At 39.5% G+C, this 24,074-nt stretch overlaps 1 protein-coding gene across 1 annotated transcript in view; it reads right to left on the reverse strand.

The window, feature by feature from the left end:
* The window catches only part of MBD2 (methyl-CpG binding domain protein 2), a 73,064-nt gene continuing 51,337 nt past the window's right edge, over positions 2,348-24,074 (reverse strand). The window contains exons 4-7 of the mRNA NM_003927.5: positions 16,818-16,908; positions 15,265-15,442; positions 10,507-10,645; positions 2,348-6,053 (exon numbers count right to left, since the gene is read on the reverse strand). Of these exons, the coding sequence (NP_003918.1) occupies positions 10,519-10,645; positions 15,265-15,442; positions 16,818-16,908 (396 nt within the window). The 3' untranslated portion in view covers positions 2,348-6,053; positions 10,507-10,518. The remainder of the gene's footprint in view (positions 6,054-10,506; positions 10,646-15,264; positions 15,443-16,817; positions 16,909-24,074) is intronic.

Raw genomic sequence — 24,074 nt, forward strand, 5'->3', positions numbered from 1 at the left:
TAAAACCAAAATCTTGTTTGTTCCAAAAAGCCACATGAGTTTCTTAAAATGAAAGTCATAGTTGGAAGGTTATAGTTTTCTCATTTGTAAAATTATACTAAGTGACTCGGCTCTTGTAGGAGACAGAAGAGAGGAAGAGAAAGGTTTAAAAGAAGGCATTCATTCCCAGTAGCACATTCTACCATGTTGCTATTTGTATCAGTCCCCTCAAGTTTCCAAATGTTTCTGTTTTCTCACAACTAGCTACTGTTGGGTGTAAGGCCTTCGTATGAATCATGCTGTGTTCAACAAGCATATTCTTGCTTGCTATCAACCTCTCCCAACACACACACAATTAACTCCCTGCTTTGGTTCTCTCTCAGTCCAGGGAATATTTATCCAGTCAGCGAAAATCAAGGTAACTCCCCAAGAAGCATATTCCAATACCTAACAATTTACCAGCGTTTTTTGTTTGTTTGTTTTTGGGGGAAGCGGTTGCTCCCATTTATGAAATACATTACCATACGGAGGCCACTCTATTAGGTATTTTGTTAGCATTAATTCATTAAATCAAAATGGAAAGTCATTTGGAGGCTACCAACAAATGCAACAACAACAACAATAACAAATCAAGCTGTAGATGATCTGAATTTGTATGTGACAGCCATTCTGCCTCAAGAGTGGAGTGAAATCACTAGACCAGCCCTCAGTGGTTCATTCTTGGATATACATTCCCCACTGAGAATTCTACAGAAGCTACTGATACTACCCCAGGAGAAAGGCACATCGTCATAAAATTGTGTATGTAATGGCAAGAGTCTGGCAGGCTCCTTGACTCCAGGGGAATATGGACCCCCGATGAGGAGTCCTGCACTGGAGCAGTGGTCTCAAAACTCCTTTGCTAATAAATCCTTTCTGAGACAAAAACGTATTCCCAAATTTATGGATATTTACTTACAAATAATATACATGTACTGTTCTACTAATATGTATATTAAAAAACACTCAAAAATTAGAATCACAATAACATTAGATAAAAACAAATATTAAAAGGTCCCACTCCCAGTGAATGGTTTTACACATGCCCTACATCAGGGGCCCCAAGCCCTGGGCGGCAGCAGGCTCGTACTGATCTTCAGCCTGTTAGGAACAGGGCCACACAGCAGGAGGTGAGCAGGTGAGCAGGCATTCCCGCCTGAGCTCCGCCTCCTCTCAGATCAGCTGTGTCATTAGATTCTCATTGGCGCACAAACTTTACTGTGACTCGCACATGCGAGGGATCTAGATTGCACACTCCTTATGGGAATCTAATGCCTGATGATCTGAGGTGGAATAGTTTCATCTCAGAACCATCACCCCACCCCACCCTGCTCTTTGGAAAAATTGTCTTCCATGAAACCAGTCCCTGGTGCCAAAAAGGTTGGGGACTCTTGCCCCAGGGCCTATGGTCCAGTTGCATCTTGCTGCCAGACTTCTCAGAGGATCAAGTTCATGAGGCAAAAAGCTGAAAGTACTACAAAGAAAACGCTAACCGTCGGATAAAAATAATTCCTAACATTCTGTGATTAAGAAGCTTTACCTATTCTCACCTCTTTTATAAGATAAATAATCCTAGTAAAGATTTCTCAGCAGGGAGGTTTACTGGAAAAGCTTTGACTAGTCACCCACAAAAGGACCAGATCTCCTAGGAAGAATCGCTCTGCTTTCAGGCCACAGTCATACTGTACTTGTTAAACCAAACTGTGTTGCTTTTTGTCAGCTTAAGACCCGAGTGGAGAATAGCATTGGAAGGTTGTGTGGCGTTCTCGAGACAGAAAACCTTTACATTCAAATTTCCCTCTCTGAATCTTATTGGCTAGGATAAGTCATTTAACTTATCTGGGTCTTAGATTCCTTAACTCATAAATGAGGAGAAGAAGAATATGTACATATTACATGGCTTACATGTAGATTAAAATTCAAAGATAACATTAATGGAGGTGAAAGTGTTCCATAAATTATTAAATGCTATATAAATGTGAGGAAATAAAACACTTTTTGTTTTCCCATCATTAAAAGTCAAATAATTGATAAAAGTAACTATTTTCACATAAAATTTGCATGTGCCCTTATAGAGAAAACCAGCATGCAAATTAAAATTTTAAAGCCTACTCCAGATCCTTCGAGTCATGCATTTTGACAGCCTGCTGCTCCAAGTCCAAATCCCACAGCTACTGCTAGCTAATTGGGTTGTAACTGACTGGTGTTCCCTGCCCTACCTGTGAACTTTGGGACCCCACCCCCCAGTCTGATGTCCCCTGTGCCCGAGAAACATGATCCAGAGATGTCCTTCATGGATTAAGTCATTGAAGATGACTTACACAAACAGTTTTAAAGCTTCAAAATTTATTGCTGTACATTTTCTCATAGCATTTACTATGGAAATACTAATAGTGCAAATATTTATTTTGGACTTCATAGCATTTGAGAAATCACAAAGCTTGTTTATATCTTTGCAATTATTTATGAAGATCTATATTATTTTAAAAATCCAAACGAGTAATCTTATATTCAAAGAGATTGTATAACACTCTCTAGATCTCCTCTTTAGACCAAAAAAAAAAAAAAAAACACCCTGGAAGCCACCAAGGGCATTTCTTTCCTTTATAATACATACAGCTTCTAACACTTTTCCAACTGCATGACTCTTGTTCATTCACAGATTCATTCAACAAATATTTAATGACAAGCTATTACGTGCCAGGCACTGGGCTAGGCTCGGGGAACATGAGGATGAAAAAGCACAATCTCTGCTTTTACGGTGCTTACAGTCTAATAGTAGAAACAGACATGCAAAAAAAAATTACAATACAATACAATAAAGTGCTTCCATGGAGGTATTTACAAAGTGCGGTGGGAACAGGGAAGGCGGGAAAGAACATCTGCCTGAAGAAATCAGGGACAGCTTCACAGAGGAGGTAGCCATTGAGCTGAGACTTCATCAATGATTAGGAATTCACCATGTAGACGGGCAGGCAAAGGGTGTTTCAGGCAAAGGGAACAACAGGTACAAAGACACAGAGGCCCAAGGGGCACTTCAAAGAAGCAAGTAAAGAGGTTTTTCTTGAGCTGAAGGTGCAGTGAGGAATAGTGGCAGCATGAGGCCAGACAGACAAGCAGGGATCAGATCAAGAAGAGCCTTTTGACCATTCTTCCATTTATTCAGCAAACAGTTACTGAGTGCTTACTAGGTGCCAGTCACTCAGCTAAGTGCTGGGGCTGTAACGGGAAATCAGACAAACACATCCTTGCTCTCATGGAGCTTACATTCTAGTAGAGAAATAGACAAAAAGCCAACAAATAAATAAAATACAGACTTAGAAAATGTCTACAAAAGAAATAGGGTGCTGAGGCAGAAAATAGTGTCACAGGGATAGGCGGTAGTTAGGGTTATTAGCAAATGCCTCTTGGAAAGGATGTAAAACTCACACCTGCAGGGATAGCGACAATAGTGTGCTCCAATGTGAGCACCCACTATGTGCCAGGCACTGTGCTACACACTTTAGAAACAGTCTATCTCACTGAATCCTCACAACAACTCTATGAGGTAGGTATTATTATTCCTATTTCACTGAGGAGGGACAGGCTCAAAGAGATTAAATAACCTGACAAGTCACACAAATGGCAAAAATCAGGATTCAGACACAGGTTCTCCTAATTTCAAAGTGTGTGCTCTTAAAAATCACTCTAAACTGCATACAAAGATAAGTGAGGGAAATAATACAGTCACATTTGCCTGTTTTGATGATCTTTCTGATGACTATGTGGAGGGATGGAGAGAGGGAAGGGGAAGAAAGTGGACAGGTGAGCAAAAAAGGAAGCCACTGAAAGTCCAGAGGACAGGAAAGGCAGTTCATATGAAGGCAGTGATCGTGGGGATGGAGGAGAGGTGGGGTGCAGTCAGTAGTTCTAATAGGATTGATGAGAAGTCAGAAGCAAGGGAAAGGGCAGCATTGTGCTCACTCCTGGGCTTCTGCCTTGCGTAACTGGAGAAGATGGCTTGCTTTTACCAGAGTGAGGGAATGGAAGAGGGTGGTAGGTTTGTGGGGACCAGGTGATGAAGTTTTGAACATGTTGTCTTGTGGGTATATTGGGAACACCCTGGACTTATGGGATGGTCCCCAAGGGACACCATATAATGGCTTTCATACCTTGTTCTCCACCTGAGCAAAGTATATAAGCAAAAAAAAAAAAATCAGTTTTATATGTGTATACATTGTGTTTTTGCTTTTACAAGCTGTTTAGAAAAGCACATATATCTTGGCTGGATTGGTTTGTAAAAAGAATATATGATCACCAAGGTGAAGTTACCCCAACCCTGATCACAAATGAAGAATCGTGGACTCGGGGGAGGAAGAGAAAAGCCCTTGGACATCCATTCTCACTAGTCATACTAGCTTTTAAAAAGAAATCACTATGATCCTCACCCCCACCCCAGTTGGGACAGTCTGATGGGGCGGGCAGGCACCCTCTACCAATTGGCTTCCCAGGGTCTACAAGTTTCCCTGCTCATCCACCAGCAGGACTGCTTCAAGGAAACTAATGGCCCTAGGGTCCAGGGATCAAAGTTGAGCGTAAATCAGGAATTCCAAGAAGTATTTATGTAGTTTGGCATAAAAGTCCAGGAAAAACAGCAGCCCAAACAGCAGCCCAAACCTAGCTAGTCATATTGCTTTGACTATTCCCCTCTTCTTCCCTGCCTTGGAAACTGGAGGTAGTGGTAATAAAATGTACAGGTGACACTCATGTGGAATTGGTCATACCCCTGACTGCATCATTTAGGTTCTAATTTTAAAAGAACTCAAGAGTTAAGAAATAAACACACCTTTTCTATAGAATGATTTTACTTTTGCTCTGTCTCTCAAAATTTGTTTTCATTTGCTTATAACCACTCCCTCCCTTCCTTGGTATCAGATTAAGTATGTTTTGATTTTAGAAATCGTTTAATAATGTAATGCTAGTTTTCATAATTAAATATCAATAAATTCAAGTGGTATGAAAGTTACACTCGCGAGTTTCAACAGAAAAAGAATGTTAATATTTTGGAGGCCAGGCCAGGTACAGGTAATGGTTTGTAAAGTATTACAAACCCTTTCATTAAGCAACTCTGTCTAGAAGCTGCCTCTCACTGTAGCCAAGAGTCTGACCTGCACCTGATAACTCAGTAAGCTAGTGGACGTTAGAGAGTGCCAAACATTCTTTAAAAAACAATAAACATGGACGCCTTCTAGTAACACCTGAAGGGTCCTTGTGTATCTGACTCATGCCCAAGGGAAGAAAAAGCCTTATTCTTATAGAACTATCAAAAGTCCAAGTCACAGGCAAGGAAAAAAAATTACACATGCTAGGTGATATTTAGCAGAAATTCTTAGAAATTCTGGTGAAAGCACAATTCTCACAACGTCCAGAGGCAATAGTTCATACTGCAAATATATGCGCTATCTTCCTCCACCTCCATGTCAAACCTAAGGCCCAGGGATCAGAGTTGAATGTAAATCAGAGGAAGGCTAACGAGGGGTTCTTTATTGTGTGTGCTTTTCAACAGAAAGAATTCCAATCAGTCTGTGAATATAATCATTTATTTGTCTTTACAGTGATGATGGAAGAATGTACAGGTGTCCCCTTTCAATAAAGTATAAAAATATGTTTATATACAGTGAAGTCACAATAATCTTTAACTGGGAAATTTATTTAGAATTCCTGATCTGTTCTTATTAAAACTGTGGGGGAAACAAATGTTTTACGTAAGTGCTACATTTCCAGTAGATTGCACCTGGCATCAAAAGCTCAGCTTCATCTTAGGGTCCTGCTTGATATTACAAAAGACTAATTTTAAGTCCTAGGACTCAAAATAAACATGATTTTTTGAATAATAGATATATACATCAAAAATACATCTAAAAAGGCATTGGTTAGTGCTATTAAAAAGCTCTATGTGCTCGGGTACATTTTTTTTCTTACAGGCAAAAGCCAGTGGAAACATTTTTGTTCAATTTCTAGGAATTTTCTCTTGGGGAAAGTCGGTCGAAAGTTACCTGTTAAAAAAAAAAAAAAAAGAACAAACTTAAGTAATCCAGTGATTTATCAGGTGAGAGGTCAGCAATACTCAAAAAAGAATTAGAGATTGAATTCCACTTAAGAACCATGCTTTTACAGCCTTGATGAACATGTAGTTACAGCACTTCATAAATAAAAAGTGCTCAACATATCCCCTCATTGTTTCGTTTTATTTTGATGATAACCTTTACTATCCTGTTAATTTTCCAAAGAAATCATATGTATTCTTCTATGTTTATGCAAATATTTTCTAACTACAATTAACTACATCAGCATAAAAAGAGAATTCAAAGGGCATACAAATGAAAAAGCAGAACAGATACAGACCAATCCAAATATATTTTGAGAAAATGTAGAAAAATTTCTACTCAAGATACTTTATTTTACTTCACAATTTCTTTCACATGAGAGCATTTACAGATGACACGTATGCATCGAGTCTTCCTATTGTTTAACCTGGGTGAAATGGCACTGTGCAACTGCAAATTGAACTATTTATGTATTTGATATCCTATCTCATGTATAGCTAAATATATTCACACCTTTGTTTTTACAGTCATCATCTTCTTCTTCTTCTTAAATTTTACTTAAGTAAAATTTAAGTAACACAGTAAATTGCGGCCTGTTATTTAACTAACCAAATAAATAAATGAATAAACATCCACCTTACTAATAAGCAGGATTAGAAAGAGCTGAGGCATGATGAGGCTGGCCGACCTGAAGGGACCTTGGTTATCTCTTATGAGCCCGTGAAGATGGCCACATCTCACCCTTTGCCCAACTAAGTCCTACCTATACCACAGGTTATTACGGACAGCTGATTGAGTCATGTGGTCATGCTTTAGTTTATTAAAACTTTTAGGTATATATGGGGTTATTTGAGTAAGGTAAATGTAATTTTCATAATTAAGAAGTACATCTAAATCTTCCGCAATCTATAAGTCTAATGGCTTGATCTAATAATGCCATTCTCAAGTTGGGAAGATAACATAAATAATTTGAATCTCTCCCTACCTAACATGCCAAAATAATGGCTACTTTTAAAGAACTGATTAAAATTCTAATCATTCAACATTAGTTTGTTATTACTATTATCCACATTTGTGCAAGGCAATGAGAAGTTGCCAACTTCTGTGTAAGTATAGTGCCAGTGCCTACAACACAGCCTCGCTCACATAAACAAGGGTATAGCCTGGATGTCAATCTGCAAAGTAATCTGTAAAGGAAGCAAAAGTCGGCCAGTGGCTCATGCTGTAATCCCAGCACTTTGGGAGGCTGAGACGGGTGGATCACCTGAGGTCAGGAGTTCAAGAGTTCAAGACCAACCTGCCCAACATGGCGAAAACCGTCTCTAGAAAAAATACAAAAAATTAACTGGGCATGGTGTCAGGCACCTGTAATTCCAGCTACTTGGGAGACTGAGGCAGGAGAATCGCTTGAACCCGGGAGGCAGAGGTTGCAGTGAGCTGAGATTGCACCCCTGTACTCCAGCCTGGATGACAAGAGCGAAACTCCATCTCAAAAATAATAATAAAAAAAAAGGAAACAGAAGTCTAGTAAAACCTCAATTAGGTGACCCTTGATTATCTGAAATGATTTCATGAGAAAAGTCTAGAAAAAAACCAAAAAGCCCTGACAGAAGAGAAGGGCTTTCTGAGAGTCCATTCCGAAGCAACAGTGCAGAATCTGGATCAGGTGAGATCCAGATCCCTCTGTGCTCCAGAGACGGTGTGGCTGCAGCCGTGGACAGTAGAAACACACTTCAGACTTCCCTCTGAAAGACTTCCAGCATATTAAGTATACTCATCAAAGCCCATAAATACATCCTTGCCAGCTTGGAAAACAAAATCCAAGTATCAACACAGCATCTTCATGTCTTCAATAAGGGAAGAGAAAAGAGCTAAAACAGCACTGAACTGGATTGAAATGATTTTTTTTTTTTTTTGAGACAGAGTCTCACTCTATCACCCAGGCTGTAGTGCAGTGGCGCGATCTCGGCTCACTGCAACCTCCGCCTCCCAGGTTCAAGCGATTCTCCTGCCTCAGCCTCTCAAGTAGTTGGGATTACAGGTGCCCGCCACCATGCCCAGCTAATTTTTGTATTTTTAGTAGAGACAGGGTTTCGTCATGTTGGCCAGGCTGGTCTCAAACTCCTGACCTCAGGACATCCATCCACCTCAGCCTCCCAAAGTGCTGGGATTATAGGCGTGAGCCACCACACCCAGCCTGAAATGATTCTGTATGGTCAGGAAACTGTGACCCAGAAGTGAGTGCTGCCATGGATGGACATGTAAATGTAAGACATTATATGTATTATTGGATTTTGGTCTTGCTGTGGCATGAAAGATAAAGGCACTATGGAAGGGGATAATTGTGTTAACAATTCAACTCACCCTCCCTGCAATCCCTACCCTTAGCCTGTTCCCCTACCAAACAGAGTTCCCTCCCACCCAGCTCAAGTGATGGCTCAAGTGAAAACCCTGAGGCATCCTCGCCACTCTCTCACCCGCACTTCCAGGCAGTCACCTGGTCACGTGATTCTTTCTCCAGCTATATCTCAGATCTACCCATCTCTTCTTCTCCCAACCTATTGGCATGTCAACATCCTCCTAAAGCCACCATCATCTCTTGCGAGACTACCGCAGCAACATCCCAACTGGTCTCCTTGCTTCCAAGCTTTCCCTACTCCAATCCTTGTATTCATGCAGCAGCCATAGGGCTCTTGTAAAGAAGCAAATCTGATCATGCTACTGACTCTTCAGTGATTCCTGCTAATTTTCATGATCAATCTCAAGTGGTCATCAATCTCCCTAACAACCCACAGGTCCTACGTGACTAGGTTCACCACCCACACATTCCCCCCACCCCTCCCCAGACATACTGCATTCCAACCACGTGGATAATTTCTTCATTCCTTAAAGAAACCAAGTTTCTCCTTGCTGTTCCTTCTAATGGGAACACTTTTACCCAAACCTCTCCTGGCTCACTCCTATATATCTTTCAGGCTCAACATAAATGTCACTTTCTCAGAGAGGCTCTGTTGACCCTTGACATCATATTAGCACCCCATCCCTCCCTCTGTTTTGGCTTCAAAGGAAACTAGTAAATAATTGGTTTTGGGGTGCCAAAAAGGAAGACATGGCCTGCTGAAACAAAGCAGGATGGAAGCCGGGAAGCAAGACGTCACAGAAAGCCTTAAGATCTGCACGTGCTCCTCTGAAGACAAGGTATGCCCATGGCACAGAGCCATGAGCCTGGAATGTGAGTTTGAGATAAGATCAAAATGTGCATTTTTGTTGCTGTTTTTTGAGTCAGAGTCTTACTCCATCCCAGGCTGGAGTGTAGTGGCACAATCTCGGCTCACTGCAACCTCTGCCTCCCGGGTTCAAGCAATTCTCATGTCTCAGCCTCCCGAGTAGCTAGAATTACAAAATTCCAGCTATTCTACCACGCCCAGCTAATTTTTATATTTTTAGTAGAGACAAGGTTTCACCATGTTGGCCAAGCTAGTCTCAAACTCCTGACCTCAAGTGATCCGCCTGCCTTGGCATGCCAAAGCGCTGAGATTACAGGCATGAGCCACCAAACCCAGCCTAAAAATGTGTATTTTTTAAGGTAAAGTATTTATTATACTTTTTAGTGTCCTTCTTGTTCTCCCTGCATCAAATCTGTGCTAGGGAGAATCTAAGAAAAAGAAAGAGATTTTGCCTGCTTTGCCACCATAATTTTAAAGAGGAAGCAATATGCCCTGGATGCTACTGTGATGGAGATGACAGTCACCTTCTTCTTCTGGGGCCGTTCCTCCCTACATGACAAAGTCCTTTTCTTCTGCTGCTGCTCTTCTCTAGTGACACCTTAGAGGCTTTCCACCTGGTCTTAATGAAGGAGACTAGATCCCTTGCAAGTGACTGCAGGGGTGTGAATGTCCTCCCAGTATGAGAACAAAAGAATGCAATAACTTATATGGTCCTTCAATCCAGAGAGAAGAAACAAACAACAGCACATGCAGAACCCGAGCAGAGGAGTAGCTTTTTCATTCACTGCTGAGGAAGCTACAGGGAAAATAACAAGAAAATACAGCGACACCTTTTTTTTTTTTTCTGAGATGGGGTTTCACTCTGTCACCCAGGTTGGAGAACAGTAGCACAATTTTGGCTCACTGAAATTTCTGCCTCCCAGGCTCGAGTGATCCTCCCACCTCAGCCTCCTGAGTAGCTGGAACCACACACACACAACACCACACCCAGTTAATTTTTTGTATTTTGGGTAGAGATGGGGTTTTGCCATGTTGCTCAAGCTGGTCTCGAACTACTGAGCTCAACTGATCGCCCGCCTCAGCCACCCAAGTGCTGGGATTACAGGCAGAAGCACTATGTCCGGCCAAGAAAACACACCTTAAGTTCCAAGTCACTCTCTCTGGTGTCAGTTTACCTGATCATATTCTTAGGCTTCATCTCCACTGTCCATTTCAATATCCATCTCTTCTGTATCAGCAGCTCGCGACAAGATGTCTGCCATCAGTGCTTCTTCCAATTTCTTGCGTACTTGCTGTACTCGCTCTTCCTGTTTCCTTTTTAAAAACAGAATAAAAAGGCACTGAGAATTTGGCAAGTAATGACAATATGAATCTGCTACAGAAGTTCATCCTTACTTCAAAATAATTAAATTCCTAAGAAGAATAGACTTCCTTTTCAGATTTTTGCAGAGGTTGCTTCTACACACAAATCAAACCTCACCAATGAGCCTTGCCAAAAAGAGGAATGTTCACAGAGGCAGTTATCCCTCATCACACATGAAATTCTAGAAAGAGCAGATTGACGTCAGTGACCTTTTCTTCAACTTTGAAAATGTCAACTGTGTCAAGATTTGGGTTTATTCCTATAAGGACAATTAGAAATAACTTAGAAGCAGGAATAAAAGATGGAGGGAACATAAATAACAAAGGAAAAGTGACTTGTTCATAGAAGCACTGAGAAAGATGGAGGAAGCAGAGGCGTGATAAGCTGGGGTTTGATTGACATTCTGCGGCTAGGTTAGTTAGGAGAGAGCTCTCTCCTGGATTCTGAGGTCTGCAGGCAACAGGTCAGCATGAAGGAGCCAAGACTACATGATCCTGCACACCGAGGACAGACACTGAAAAGCCTCTCTTCAAATAAGAAAGTGAGTTACTTAAGAACATGCCATGAGTTTCTCTGTGTCTCGGTGATTACAAAGGAACCTCAAAAGTGAGGGTTAATAACTCCAAGTCATTAAAAAGGCTCTGAACCATTAGAGCACAGGAAGAAAGGCTATCAGTATACACTTACCTTTAAAAAGTAAAAAAAAAAAAAAAAGAAAAGAAAGTAGATCCCCCAGATGGTAAGAGATAAATTCCTAATACGTGTCTAGCAAACAAAGCTCGGTAAATAGAAATTGACATCCAGAACCAAGTAGAGAAGCAAAGGTTGAAGAAAGACAAGAGAAGAGAGAAGACTGGTAGGAAAAGATTCCAGTGGGAACAAGAACAGAAGGCAATGGCAGAGGAGGGAGGGTCAGCAGAACAGAAAAGGGGGCAAAGCTCTTGAGACCAGAAGAAAGGAGATAAGGAAAGATGCAGACAGGGAGATGAAGATGCAACAAGGAATATACAAAGGGTTCTACTGAAAAAAAAAAAGTAATTTTCTCTACCAATAACCGAGGAAGACAGATTGCAGCAATTCCCAAAACTGGGACAGCAGAGAGGTAGAGGAGCAATGCTATAGAAGATTGCCCTAAGGGTCCCTGAGTATTCACTCCATAGGGGCTCAACCAGCTGCCAAGTTATATTCAGTCTACTCAAGATCACACCCCTTTGACCAAATAAGACTATGTCCAAGGTAGTCAAGGTAACATATATGTACTGCTTCCCACAAAAACTTTGGATATCTTTATTAAACTCCAAAACACCACAAAGAGTTAAAAGGTATAGACTTCCACTTATTAAATGAATTTTCAAAAAGAGGGAAGCTGTCACTGGGTCAGTCTTAGCTCTATAGCCTCTGTCATATTAAAAGAAACTGGAATTTGACAGATTTTCATGTCATGGGGCAGGGTCAAGCAGAACACATTTGTTTATTTCTTATACAGTTAGTCTCACCTCTGGGTCAGTGACTCAAAGTTTATGACAAATGACATATTGGTTTCACTGGCAGTCTCTCACTAATAAGAGTACAAGAATCTTCACAGCTGTCCTAGAGTAACCTCATTAGGAAGAAGGAGAAAATGGAGCAAATGGCACCATATGCAGTAATTTGGATGGAGAATTTTATCTTAAACTCTAACATTTGCCATTGATTTTCTTCTCTCTTGAGCATTACTTTCCACATTTGTGAGAGCTGAAATTTAATCATTTGCCCATTGCTGTAGGCAGAATTGTAAGATGGTCCCCAACAGTCCCTCTTCCCCAAAACCACCCTTACGTGCACTCTTTATATAATTCTCTCCTCTTAAGGGTGAGCAGAACTTGTGAATATGATGGGATATCTCTCCATGATTAGGTTACCAATCAACTGATTTTGAGTCAATCGAGAGAGATTATTGTAGTGGGCCTGACCTAATAGGACCCCTTAGTGGAGCTGGGATCTTCCTGACAGAAGCATAAAGGGGCACACGGAGGAGCCACGAGACAAGGAACTACAGGCAGCTTCCAGGAGCTAAGACAGCCACCATCCCATAGCCAAGAAGAGAACAGGGGCCTTAGCCCTAAAACACAAGGCATGAATTCTGCAACCACCATATGAGCTTGAAAGAGAACCCCAAGCTTCAGAAGGGAACACAGTCCGGTGACACTTTTAAGACCCAAACACAGAAGCCAGTCATACCAGGCCCAGACTTCTGACCCCACAGAACTTTAAGCTAATAAATGGGTATTGTTTTAAGCTGCAAAGTTTGTGAGAATTTGTTACAAAGTATTAAAAAACGAAAGTACTCATCAATGCAAACATTATAAAATACGCTAAAAATACTTGAGATATATCTTGTTGGGGTCTTCAGCTGGAGGTTTAATGTAGACAGACTATTGGATACCCAATTAGGTAAAGAGTAACAGTTCCATTTGCAGTAATTTATTTTGAACATGTACTAATTCAACAAGGAGTATTTTCTTCCTAATTTCCGTCATGACAATTAAATCAAATGAGCAATTTGTTAGACAAATTTACCCAAAAAGGAAATCATCCAGAATTGGCTTTGAGATAGTTTCCTCAACTATCAAAAGAACTGGTGTTGAAGCCACCAACATTCCTGTGATATAACTCAGAGAACCTCCGTCAACACATATAAGGACCTGGCAGAATCCCTGCTGATTAATTCAGCATTCATCCCAAGATGGAAAAGAACTTGTCTCTGGAGTAATTTTCTTCCTCAAGGGTAAGAACAATCCAATGAGCAAGTTGATTCCTTTCATTGATTTTACATTTTGTTTTCTTAAAAAATAAAGTTTTTAAGAAACTTCATTCATATTCATATGCAATCAAGGCATATGAATACAACTTTGCACCACTTTTTATCTTTGCAAAATAATTACTTTAAGACCCAAGAAGGGCTTTCCCATTATAAACCTAGCTAGACTTACCCATTTAAAAAAACTTTCATGTCAACTTTGTATGGATTTTTTTAAAAAATACAAATATAGGCTGGGCGTGGTGGCTCACACCTGTAACACCTGTATCCCAGCACTTTGGAAGGCTGAGGCAGGCGGATCATGATGTCAGGAGTTCAAGACCAGCCTGGCCAATATGGTGAAACCCTGTCTCTACTAAAAATAAAAAAATTAGCTGGGTATAGTGGCGCTCGCCTGTAGTCCCAGCTACTCGGGCGGCTGAGGCAGGAGAATTGCTTGAACCCGGGAGGCAGAGGTTGCAGTGAGCTGAGTTTGTGCCACTCCACTCCAGCCTGGGCAACAGAGCAAAACTCTGTCTCAAAAAACAAACAAACAAAAGAACAAATATAAAACATCTTAAAATTATATGATTCGAAAGTGTCATCTGCTGATTTTGTCTAGGAATAATACTCAAATTAAACTGATTTACATTCAGGGGACAGAAATAGTGAAGTATACACAAGGTCATATTTTTAATATACTATAATATAATATAAATGCAATATAGTACAGTATCACTATAAAATAATGATATTGAGGTCATAAAACCCACATAAGAATTGCTCTGTGATCTTACTAACTGGAGTACTTTTGCTTTTCCTGTGCAATGGTTTGCTTCTACTTTCTGGGTTCTACCAATCTGAGCTGGATGTTTTCCTTTTACCATTTGCTGCTGAAACCCTAACTTGTGAGTCAGCCTTAGAAAGAGTGAAAGATGTCAGTAGACATAGTTTGTGTCTTGTCTCATTCCTGGCTCTGTTTTATTGCTTTACCTGTGGCTTCTTCTTTCTTACTTGCTTCTCTTCTTGCTCTACCGTGTCACAAGTAAGTTTAAGAGCAGCATCACTATCATCTGATTTAAAGAGAGATTGGTTTCCAGACAAACCAGTGAAGGAGGCAATCAGAAAAGGCATAACTGAGTGAAAGGGGTTCTGTATTTTTATTTTTCTAAGACAGGATCTAGCTCTGTCACCACGGCTGGAGTGCAGGGATGTGACGACAGCTCACTGGAGCCTCGACCTCCCATGCTCAAGCAGTCCTCCCACCTCAATCTCCCAAGTAGCTGGGACTACAGTTACATACTACCATGCCTCACTAATTGTTAAAAATTTTTTGTGGAGATGGGGTCTCACTGTGTTGCCCAGGCTGGTCTCAAACTCCTGGGCTCAAGCAATCCTCCCACCTCGGCCTCCCAAAGTGCTGGGATTATAGGCATGAGCCACTGTGTCTGGCAGAAAGAGGTTCTTTAGAATAGAAAGTCAGAATCCCAAATTGCAAAAGACACTGTAAAAATGATGCTTAGGGAATATAACTGATCTGGTGTCTGTCCTTTGGACAGGACCATGACGATACCCCTGGCATGCAGCATTTATACCCGTTTCAAGCATGTATTTGTTATAATGGTCTTTTTTCACCTTCTATCAGTTTCTGAAAAACTCTGTTAAAAAAGAAAAGTATAACTTTCTAGGTGATATATCACTTACTAGATATGCCACTGAACCTAATGAACAGTAAAAAATTTACCCAAACGTAAAAACCCAAGTTTATGAAGTCATGTTAAACTGCATTACCTGATGTCTTCATCTGTGACAATAAAAGCTTTGCAGAGGGGTTGAGATGTGTTAAGCCAAACAGCAGGGTTCTTTTCCACAGCAGCGGAGACTTGCCCTGTGATTGGCGCAGAGCTTGTGTGCAAAGCACTGGCAACAGCAGATAAAAGGGTCTCATCATTGCTACCTGGACCAACTCCTGCAATGAGAAACAAGTACTAGTTAAAGGAAATGTCTCAATGTGCTGAGCAAACTTTATGTGACATAAAACAACTGATATTTTTATATTCATTTGGGATCATATATGTAAAACTGACATAAGACAAAGCAGCAAAAGATAATATATCTACTTAATAGATATGACACACTAAAGAATTCACACTAAAGAAATAGTAACAAAATAGCTGAGCATTTTTTCTTACTTTAAAAAACAAATCCTCATGCTTGCTGTAAGCTTATAGCTGAGCATTTTAATAATACTTTACCAGAACTTTAAAATGCATTTTCCAAGGTACTAAACTTTTAAAAAGTTGGCTATATTTCCTCAAGCAATGTTAATTATTTTAATGAGGTAAGACTTTGTGAAGCGACTATACTCAAGTATCCCTTTTAATGTATTCCTAGAGTACTGGTATAGTCTCTCCTTGTAGCTTTTAACATTAATTTCCAGCAATATCTCAACAATTATCTTCTTTGTCTCAGGATTCAAAGAAAAAGCCAATGCAAGCAAGCTGTATCTGTGGCTTTAACAGCTTTTTTCATAAACCTAACAAAATATCCAAAATCAGAGAATTAATAACTGCACACTTTGATTACTTGTAAGATACTGGTACCATGGTCACATTTAAATGCAATGCTTAAAGTCCTAAACCTGTTTAACTAGTTAAGGCCAACATTTCCAAGAACATAAAGGGATAAGGCAATAATCTAACCATGAATTATGAGGATTTTTGAGCAATCCACAATATATCAAGCTTTAGAAGCCAAAGTTTTAATACTTGAAAAATAACTCTTCTCTAGAACTTGGAGTTCTCATACAGCATGAAATGTAGACTAGTGACTGAGTTTTCCACCCCAGATCCCACTGGCTGCTGTTGCTGGACCAAAGTGCATCTGTTCCCACTTCTACTTAGAGCACCAGTTTGTGGAGGGAGGGGCAGAAGGAGAGCTGTTGGTTGTTCTTTTGGGAAGAGGATGAGAGAAAGAGCAGGTGGTAGGGCCAGATGTTGCTATAAGCAGGAAGCTTTGAGAAATTCTGTTACTCATCCGCATCCAGTGCTAAAAGCAGCACATGGGTTAGCTTCTATGATGAACCTAACCTAAAGCCAAAATTTTTACAAAGAAAAAAATCTAAGATAATATACTACACTGCAGCATCCCTGCAACATACAAGTTTCTCATGTACCTTCTTCCTGGCTTTACTAAAACACAAGAGGTACGTCATCCAGCAAGGCATATGACCTCCCAAAGCAAAGGCCTCCTGTCAGTCATTGCTGAATCCACAGCATCTAACAGAGTGCCTGGCATGCAGTAGGTACTTGATAAATGTCTGCTCAACTGAACTTAGATAATACCTTGAAGACCTTTGGGTAGTTCCATGGTTTTTATAATTTGTTCTGTTACATCTGATGCACTAAGTCCTTGTAGCCTCTTCTCCCAGAAAAGCTGTAAGGCAAAATATCACTGTTAATAGATACATTTTTGAAACAAGAAAGTAGCGCATCGATGCTGTTGAATAATGAAATTTAAATCATTTCAATAGTTTCCTATAATTTCCTCATTTTTTCCTTATAAAAAGCTAAATGATATTCCAAACATGAATTATTTCCACACATCATAATCCTCTCAGATGGCATTGCTCAAAAAAGGTTGTTTTACATAACCTATTCACTTGTTACAATACTATAGATGGTTATATGCTGTATACTATGTATAGTTTCTTATAAGGTATCTTCCAAAGAAAATAATTTGAATTTTTTAAAGATTCACCTGGCATGAAATTTTAATGCTACGACTTATTAAGGAAAAGAAAACAAATTACGTGATGTGTTATCCCCCTTTATCCAATATCATTAGAGAAAGAGCTACTCCAATATGGGATTTTTCCAGTACAATGAAGTTTAGCCCTTTAGCACACTTTAAGGGAGAAAAGACCATTTTCAATGAAAAGTTTTCTAAAATGTTTTAGATGCCTCCTTTATTTTTAAACTGGATGTCACATTCATGAGTGACTCTTTCCCTGCTGCACAGGGCCTGGGTCACCATGGTCACTTAGTAGCCCCAGGTCATCATTACGGGCATCAGTGAGTACACTGAGTGGCTCCTCGTGCCCTAGGGGCTATGGAGCCTTTTGCTTATTCAAACACTAAATGGTCCAAGGCAATTATAGTTTTTATTTTATATCCTTTTCATATTTGATTCTCTCTCCTAGTTATTACTTTTCACTAATATCACTCATCCATTCAACATATCTTTATTGAGCTCCTACTAGGTGCTGTGCTCACCCTGCAGATGTGACAGTCAGTAAGAGAGACAATGTCACTGTCCTCATGCCTCATCTCTTTTCTAGTCTGTTTCACATTTACTGCAGCCAAAAAAAAACAGATAAAGGAATTCTATAGGACTCTGTATAACTGTCTTTAATCCTGGATACCAGGGCCTGTCACATAGTTGGTACTGAAAAAATATTTGTGGGAATGACTGAAAATGGGAGCAACTGGACTCAGCGTGAGGATCTGGGGGACACACAAACCCATACTGAAATCTCAGCTGCAACACTATCTCCAGATAGACAACCTTGGACAAGGTCTAAACCCATGCTGAAATCTCAGCTGCAACACTCTCCATCTCTAGATAGACGACCTTGGACAAGGTCTATAACCTCTTCAGAATCTTCAATTTATTTTCTCTTCTATAAATATGGCAACAATGGCTATCACAAAAGATTACTGTGGGAGTTAAATAAGGCAATATGTATAAAGTATCCATTATATACTGGGCACAAGATTTATCGCATTTGCTTTTAGCAAACTGTGGCCACTCTGAGGGCTTTTGGGGCTTACATTCCGACTTCTGGATATATGTGAAGTATCAGATAATTGTCCTCCAGACAAATGAGAAGATAAAGTAGTGTAATTCTATTTATGTCAGAAGAGCAATATGCTGAATTTGTAATAAGCACAACGCTAGCACCAAGGAAGGCCTTTGGTATATGGTAACATTTCCTTACATCTCCCTGCTAATCACATTATCAGTAGAATATGTTGTCAATATAAGCAGGTCAACAATATGAGGATATAAATATATTAATCATCATGGATGAAAAGTAGTAAGGTGGAGGTAATAATTGATGAATGCAATAAATGTCCCAAGAAAACCTGCCCTGCCTGCTTTCTATTTGCTCTCTGGTGGAATAACATCATCTGTGTTTTGAATATCACAGCTATAGAAAAAAAAAAAAAAGGAAAACAAAACCCAGTTAAATTTCTAATGACAAAGCATCTAGGAGAATTAGTGAGGATAAGATTAGTAAGTGCTTTTATAATTAAATATAATTAAACTTTATATATATGTGTATATATATATACAATTATAAAAGCACTTATTAATCTCATAGTCACTGATTTGTAAAAATAAATCAACACTACCACATAAAAGCATGGGAATTATGAACAGATACATTGTTTATATTTTACATCTAAAAGTTCCAATTCCAGATATTAAAAAATAATTTGTTTTATTCTATCATTTTTAATTCTCAACTTTCAAACTTCTATCAGTAACAAGGAAAACAATACAAAAAATTTATAAAGAAAAAATTAGTAAAAATAAATCCTGGACTGAAATACAAGTATATGGCTCTAGCTTATATCACATCCTGGTACCACCACATGTCATCTGATACCCCGCAACTACAGCTGAAGTTAGAATCTGATATGTGTGGATGCCCTCTTTATAAGAGAGGACATAAGAAACTAAGATTTTGCGTATGCTCTTTCAATAGTAAAAGCACCATTTCCAGAGTCCAGGAGCAAAAATAATAAAATTGTTATGCCATGAAAATGGAGATACATATATATATATATATATATATATATTTATGTATGCATATTTGTGTGTGTGTGTGTGTGTGTGTGTGTGTGTGTGTGTGTGTGTGTGTGTATCTTCTCCCATCCGCAACCCAGGGGAGAAATGGGGAGTGAAAAAGGTCAGAGAAGGAAAGGAAGCTAGTTTAAAAAAAGAAAACACTTAACTGGTCAAGGTCACTTCCTCTCCAACCTTTCCAACACTCACTCAAAGCTAAGAAGCTCACCTAATTTCACTGAAAACTGAAACAGTCCTCAGGCGGTAAATGTCTGTTTACATCTCAGTATGTTCCTAACTCACCTTTTCTGTACATCCATCTTCTCAGATCCCTGTTTTATTTGTTTGGGCGGGGGACGAGGGCAAGGATTCTTTGCATTTTAAAATGCATTTTAAAGGTATATACAGTAGGCATTATGCTAAGTGAAAGAAGCCAGTCTTTCCCACTCTGTGTGATTCCACTCCTATGATACCCAGAAAAGGAAAACCTATAGGGAAGGTTGCCCCAGATTGGGATGGAGGGGAGTCTGACAACAAAGGCTCAGCACAAGCAACTTCTTTGGGGTGCTAGGACTGTACTTTCTGGTTTTTAATACACTGAGACTTTATCCAGCTTATATAATGACCATGTTCTTTTCTTTCCAAGCCTGTTCCTCAAGGAATGGCCCAATGTGCACTATCGCCCTTTCCCAAGTCTACTGCAACTTTATTAGCCCACCCCCTTTCTAGCCAACTTGCACTAAACGTACTCCAATAGTCAGTCAGCTCCTCTCACCAAATTCCATGATCTTTTCTCATTATCTTTGGCCACTATGGGCCTCAGTGCTTCAGAGGGAGCAGGGAAGGAAAAGGTCTTCCTTTGCCTAAGTTTAACATTTCCTGATGTACTCACTTGGGTGAGTAGGTTTTTCTTTGGCGATTCTGTTCACTTGGAGGTCTCCCCACTCTATTACTTTCTCAACCATTAGAAGTCCAAAGACAGTAATATTCAAAAGGTGAGTAATATTCAAAATATTCAAAACATATGTAAGGACTCCCCCTCTATGATGGCTACCTAGTCTCTTGCACTACACTTCATAAGCACTACTGCTGTCATAAATCCTAAACTACTCACTGAAAATCTGATTTCCCCTGCCAAATCCAGTGGTTTTCTCAGCTTAATCTTGCTGCCTGGTGTGAGGCCAAATAACCAATAAATAGAATAGGTATAAGGAACAGTGATTTAATATTTGGAGAAACTCCCAAAATGTGCTATCACCCTCAGTTATTACACCTCCCTCTAATCCTCACTAACCAGACGCTCTGAGTACATCTAATATCTTGTTCTCTTTGTTACCTTCCAGTATATTAGAACATTGGCTAGCTCCACATGCCTATCACCTTATAACACTAATGGTCTGGGCAATGTCCTATCCAGGAAACCAGCTGATTGAGGGAGAAACATGGGATGGAATTAAAAGTCACTTAAAGCCACAAAAGTGCCTAAAATTTAACTGACAGTGCAGAGCATCTTTGGAGAAACCATCTTAGTAGTCACTGCAGTTCATCTCTACACATTTTCTCCACACAGTTCTCCTAGTAAGGACATCAACGGAAGCATAGTTGCATGTACTTTACCCCACTTAGTGTCCCAAAGAACAAACATGAAGGTGTATTACAAAAACTGCTTCTTTAGTGAGGTCAATGATCAAATCTGTTTACTGAAAGTAAAATGAACCCACGATAGCATTTTCTTTTCATAATTGTTATATATTTAACTTGGACTTTGAGGGATTTGTTCAACTTGCCTTATGAAGAATATCTAAAGAGGATGAGAAAGAAACAGGGATCACAAACAACTCCTCGCCACCATTCACAGACACCGATCCCTATTCTGATGCTCTGGGAACCGAGGCTGATAATGTTGATTATTATTTACCTTCATCACTCCGAGTTTATTAATATTACTCTAAGAGATTTGTACTCTTTAGTGAAGAACAAAAGAGATGGCTTACTAGGAAAAAGGAATTTGAGGATCAACAATATTCAACAAATACTCTTTGAATGCCCATGATATGCAATGTGTTTTTCTTGCACTGGGGATGCTTGGTAGGATAATCGGCAATCGCTGCCCTCCAGGAGGTGTTTGGTGGAAAACATGCAAAACTCTACAAGGCCGACTGCAATAATGAAGATCCAAAACTAACTTCAATTTGGGAAGACCTGGAAAGGCTTCTAGGAAGAGGTAGCCCTTGAAAATTGTGTAAGAATTCTATAAGCATGTAGAAGAGAAAAGACTATTCCAACCCAAGAAATTGTATGGGCAAGGAGGTAACAGAGTGCAGGTCAGTGTTTCTAAAGATCTTATAAAGAACAATAACCAAGGTGGCTTATTTTAAAAATATATTCCAAGGCCTCATCCCCAGAGATTCTATTCAATAGATCTGGGATTAGAAAGCTAGTTTTATTTTTTTTTTTACAAATACTTAAGGTGATTCTGATGCAGGTTCGAGTTATGAGAAAGACTGGTTTGGTTTGTGTTGAAAGAGTGGTAGTAGCCAGGTGTGGTGGCTCACACCTGTAATCCCAGCACTTTGGGAGGCCGAGGCGGGCAGATCATCTGAGGTCAGGAGTTCGAGACCAGCCTGACCAAGATGGTGAAACCCCATCTCTCCTAAAAATACAAAATTAGCTGGGCGTGGTGGCGCATGCCTGTAATGCTACTCAGGAAGCTGAGGCAGGAGAATCACTTGAACCCAGGAGGTGGAGGTTGCAGTGAGCTGGGATCGCACCATTGCACTCCAGCCTGGGTGACAGAGCAAAACTCCATCTCAAAAAAAAAAGCATGCACGTAGTGGGGGTGTAGTGACCACCAAGATCTCCAAGTATTATTCTTCACTATGCTGAAAGATTTTAAAAAATATTATTCCATCCTCTTCCTTGCAGACAACAAGAGGAAGACATTTGCCTTCCTATTATTTCATTGCAGGAGGAGATATGTTTATTTAAAAGCAGATAAGTTTATTTAAAAGTAGAGCTAATTGTTTAGGTTAAATGAAGAAAGGGCTTACCCAATGTTCTGTCTTACCCAGTGAAACTATGCCCAGTCATACTGTCTTGATGAAATAGGGAGAGGAAGAGGAGGAAAACTACCACTTAGCCATCAACACCTTTCCATAGGCCTGGCACTGTGCTAAGCACCTTCTGTACAGAAATTCAGTTAAACTTTCCTGCAGCATTTTGGAGAAGATATTACTCCCATTTACAGATAAAGAAACGGAAGCATGGGGAACTTAAATAACTTACACAATTAATCAGTGGTGCAGCTGGAATTAAAACTCAGGTCAGTGTGATTAAACAGTCCTTCTCTTAACAAAAACTCTGAAAGAGCATTTACATGTTTGGCTCTTGTTAGGTTATATAGTACAAGCCTCAGACACTTCTACTCATGCCATCAAAGGCTGATAATAATAGATCAGTAAACTTTAAGAGAACTATCAAATTACTCTTAATCCATTTAACTCCTAAGTAATAGATACTGTATAAGTCTCAATTGTAGGTGATCTGTGCCTGATGCTGCCTCTTCCTTAGGCAGAATTGAGAAGACAGGCTTATAATATATTGAAGCTAAAACCAGCATAGAGTTTTATGGGGATATCAAATTGTCATGAGAAGTAGCTCACATGGTAAAAAATAAAGAATTGGTGTAACATATTTTCTCTGCAAATTAGCGTTCTTAGACCACAATTACAAATATCAATCACATAGAACATGAAATTGTTATTTGGTGGATAGAAATTAAAGAGACCCCACTCCAAGAAAACACTTCCAGATAAGCGACACTAACGATGGTATGGGAGCAAGTATTTCAAAAAATGGAAAAAGAAAGGGAGTGATTTGCATATATAACTGAAGGCTTTTGAATTTTTTCTTAAGAATACTGTTTCAGATTAATTATACTAATAGCTACTTCTCATGACCACACTGAAAAGCATCTACATCATATATCCTAGCACGATTTTCATTAATCATTATATCCAATTTGAAAAGTACTGATGTGTCTCTGTTGTGTTAAAAAAAAAAATTCACTAGACAAAATGAAACTGACTTTCCCTGTATACTCACGACCTCAACTTGACAGTCAACCCTGAGGACGGGAATATCTAACTTATTAGCAGAGTGAATGGGATTGGGTTTTAGAATCTGAACAACCAATGTTCAAACTTGCTTTTTCACTAGCTTTATAAATTGGACAATTGACCTCTCTAAATATCGGTTTCATACTATATCGAATGGGACAATATAAGCAATCTCAAAGGGTTATGGGAACAAAATGAGGAAGCGTTATAAACACTTGAACATGCCCAGTACACAGCAACTATCATTTTACTATTTCGTTTCACCTGTGGCTTGTAGCACATTGCTGATCATACAATAGCACTTAATAAGTAGTTGGTCATTTTATTAAAATTAGGAAGTATAAACAAAGCAAAAATAATCAATTCTGAAAGGTAAGTATTAGCAAATGAAGAGTCTGAGCACATGAATATGAATCTTCCCTTCCCTTCCCTTTCAGTTGGGGATTTCTTGCTACTACGAATATTTTAAAATTATTCCTCTTCCTCCCCTCCTCCAGGCCAGACTGCCTCTCACCTGGACCTAAGGTCAGTTGGGAGTACTTTGGTAAGCAGTACTGGCTATATAATTTACTGGGCCCAGAACAAATTAAAAATGTGAGGCCTCTTGTTAAAAAAAAATTAAGAATTTCA

Source organism: Homo sapiens, chromosome 18 (genome assembly GCF_000001405.40).
Source record: "Homo sapiens chromosome 18, GRCh38.p14 Primary Assembly".
NCBI classification, from domain to species: Eukaryota; Metazoa; Chordata; class Mammalia; order Primates; family Hominidae; genus Homo; species Homo sapiens.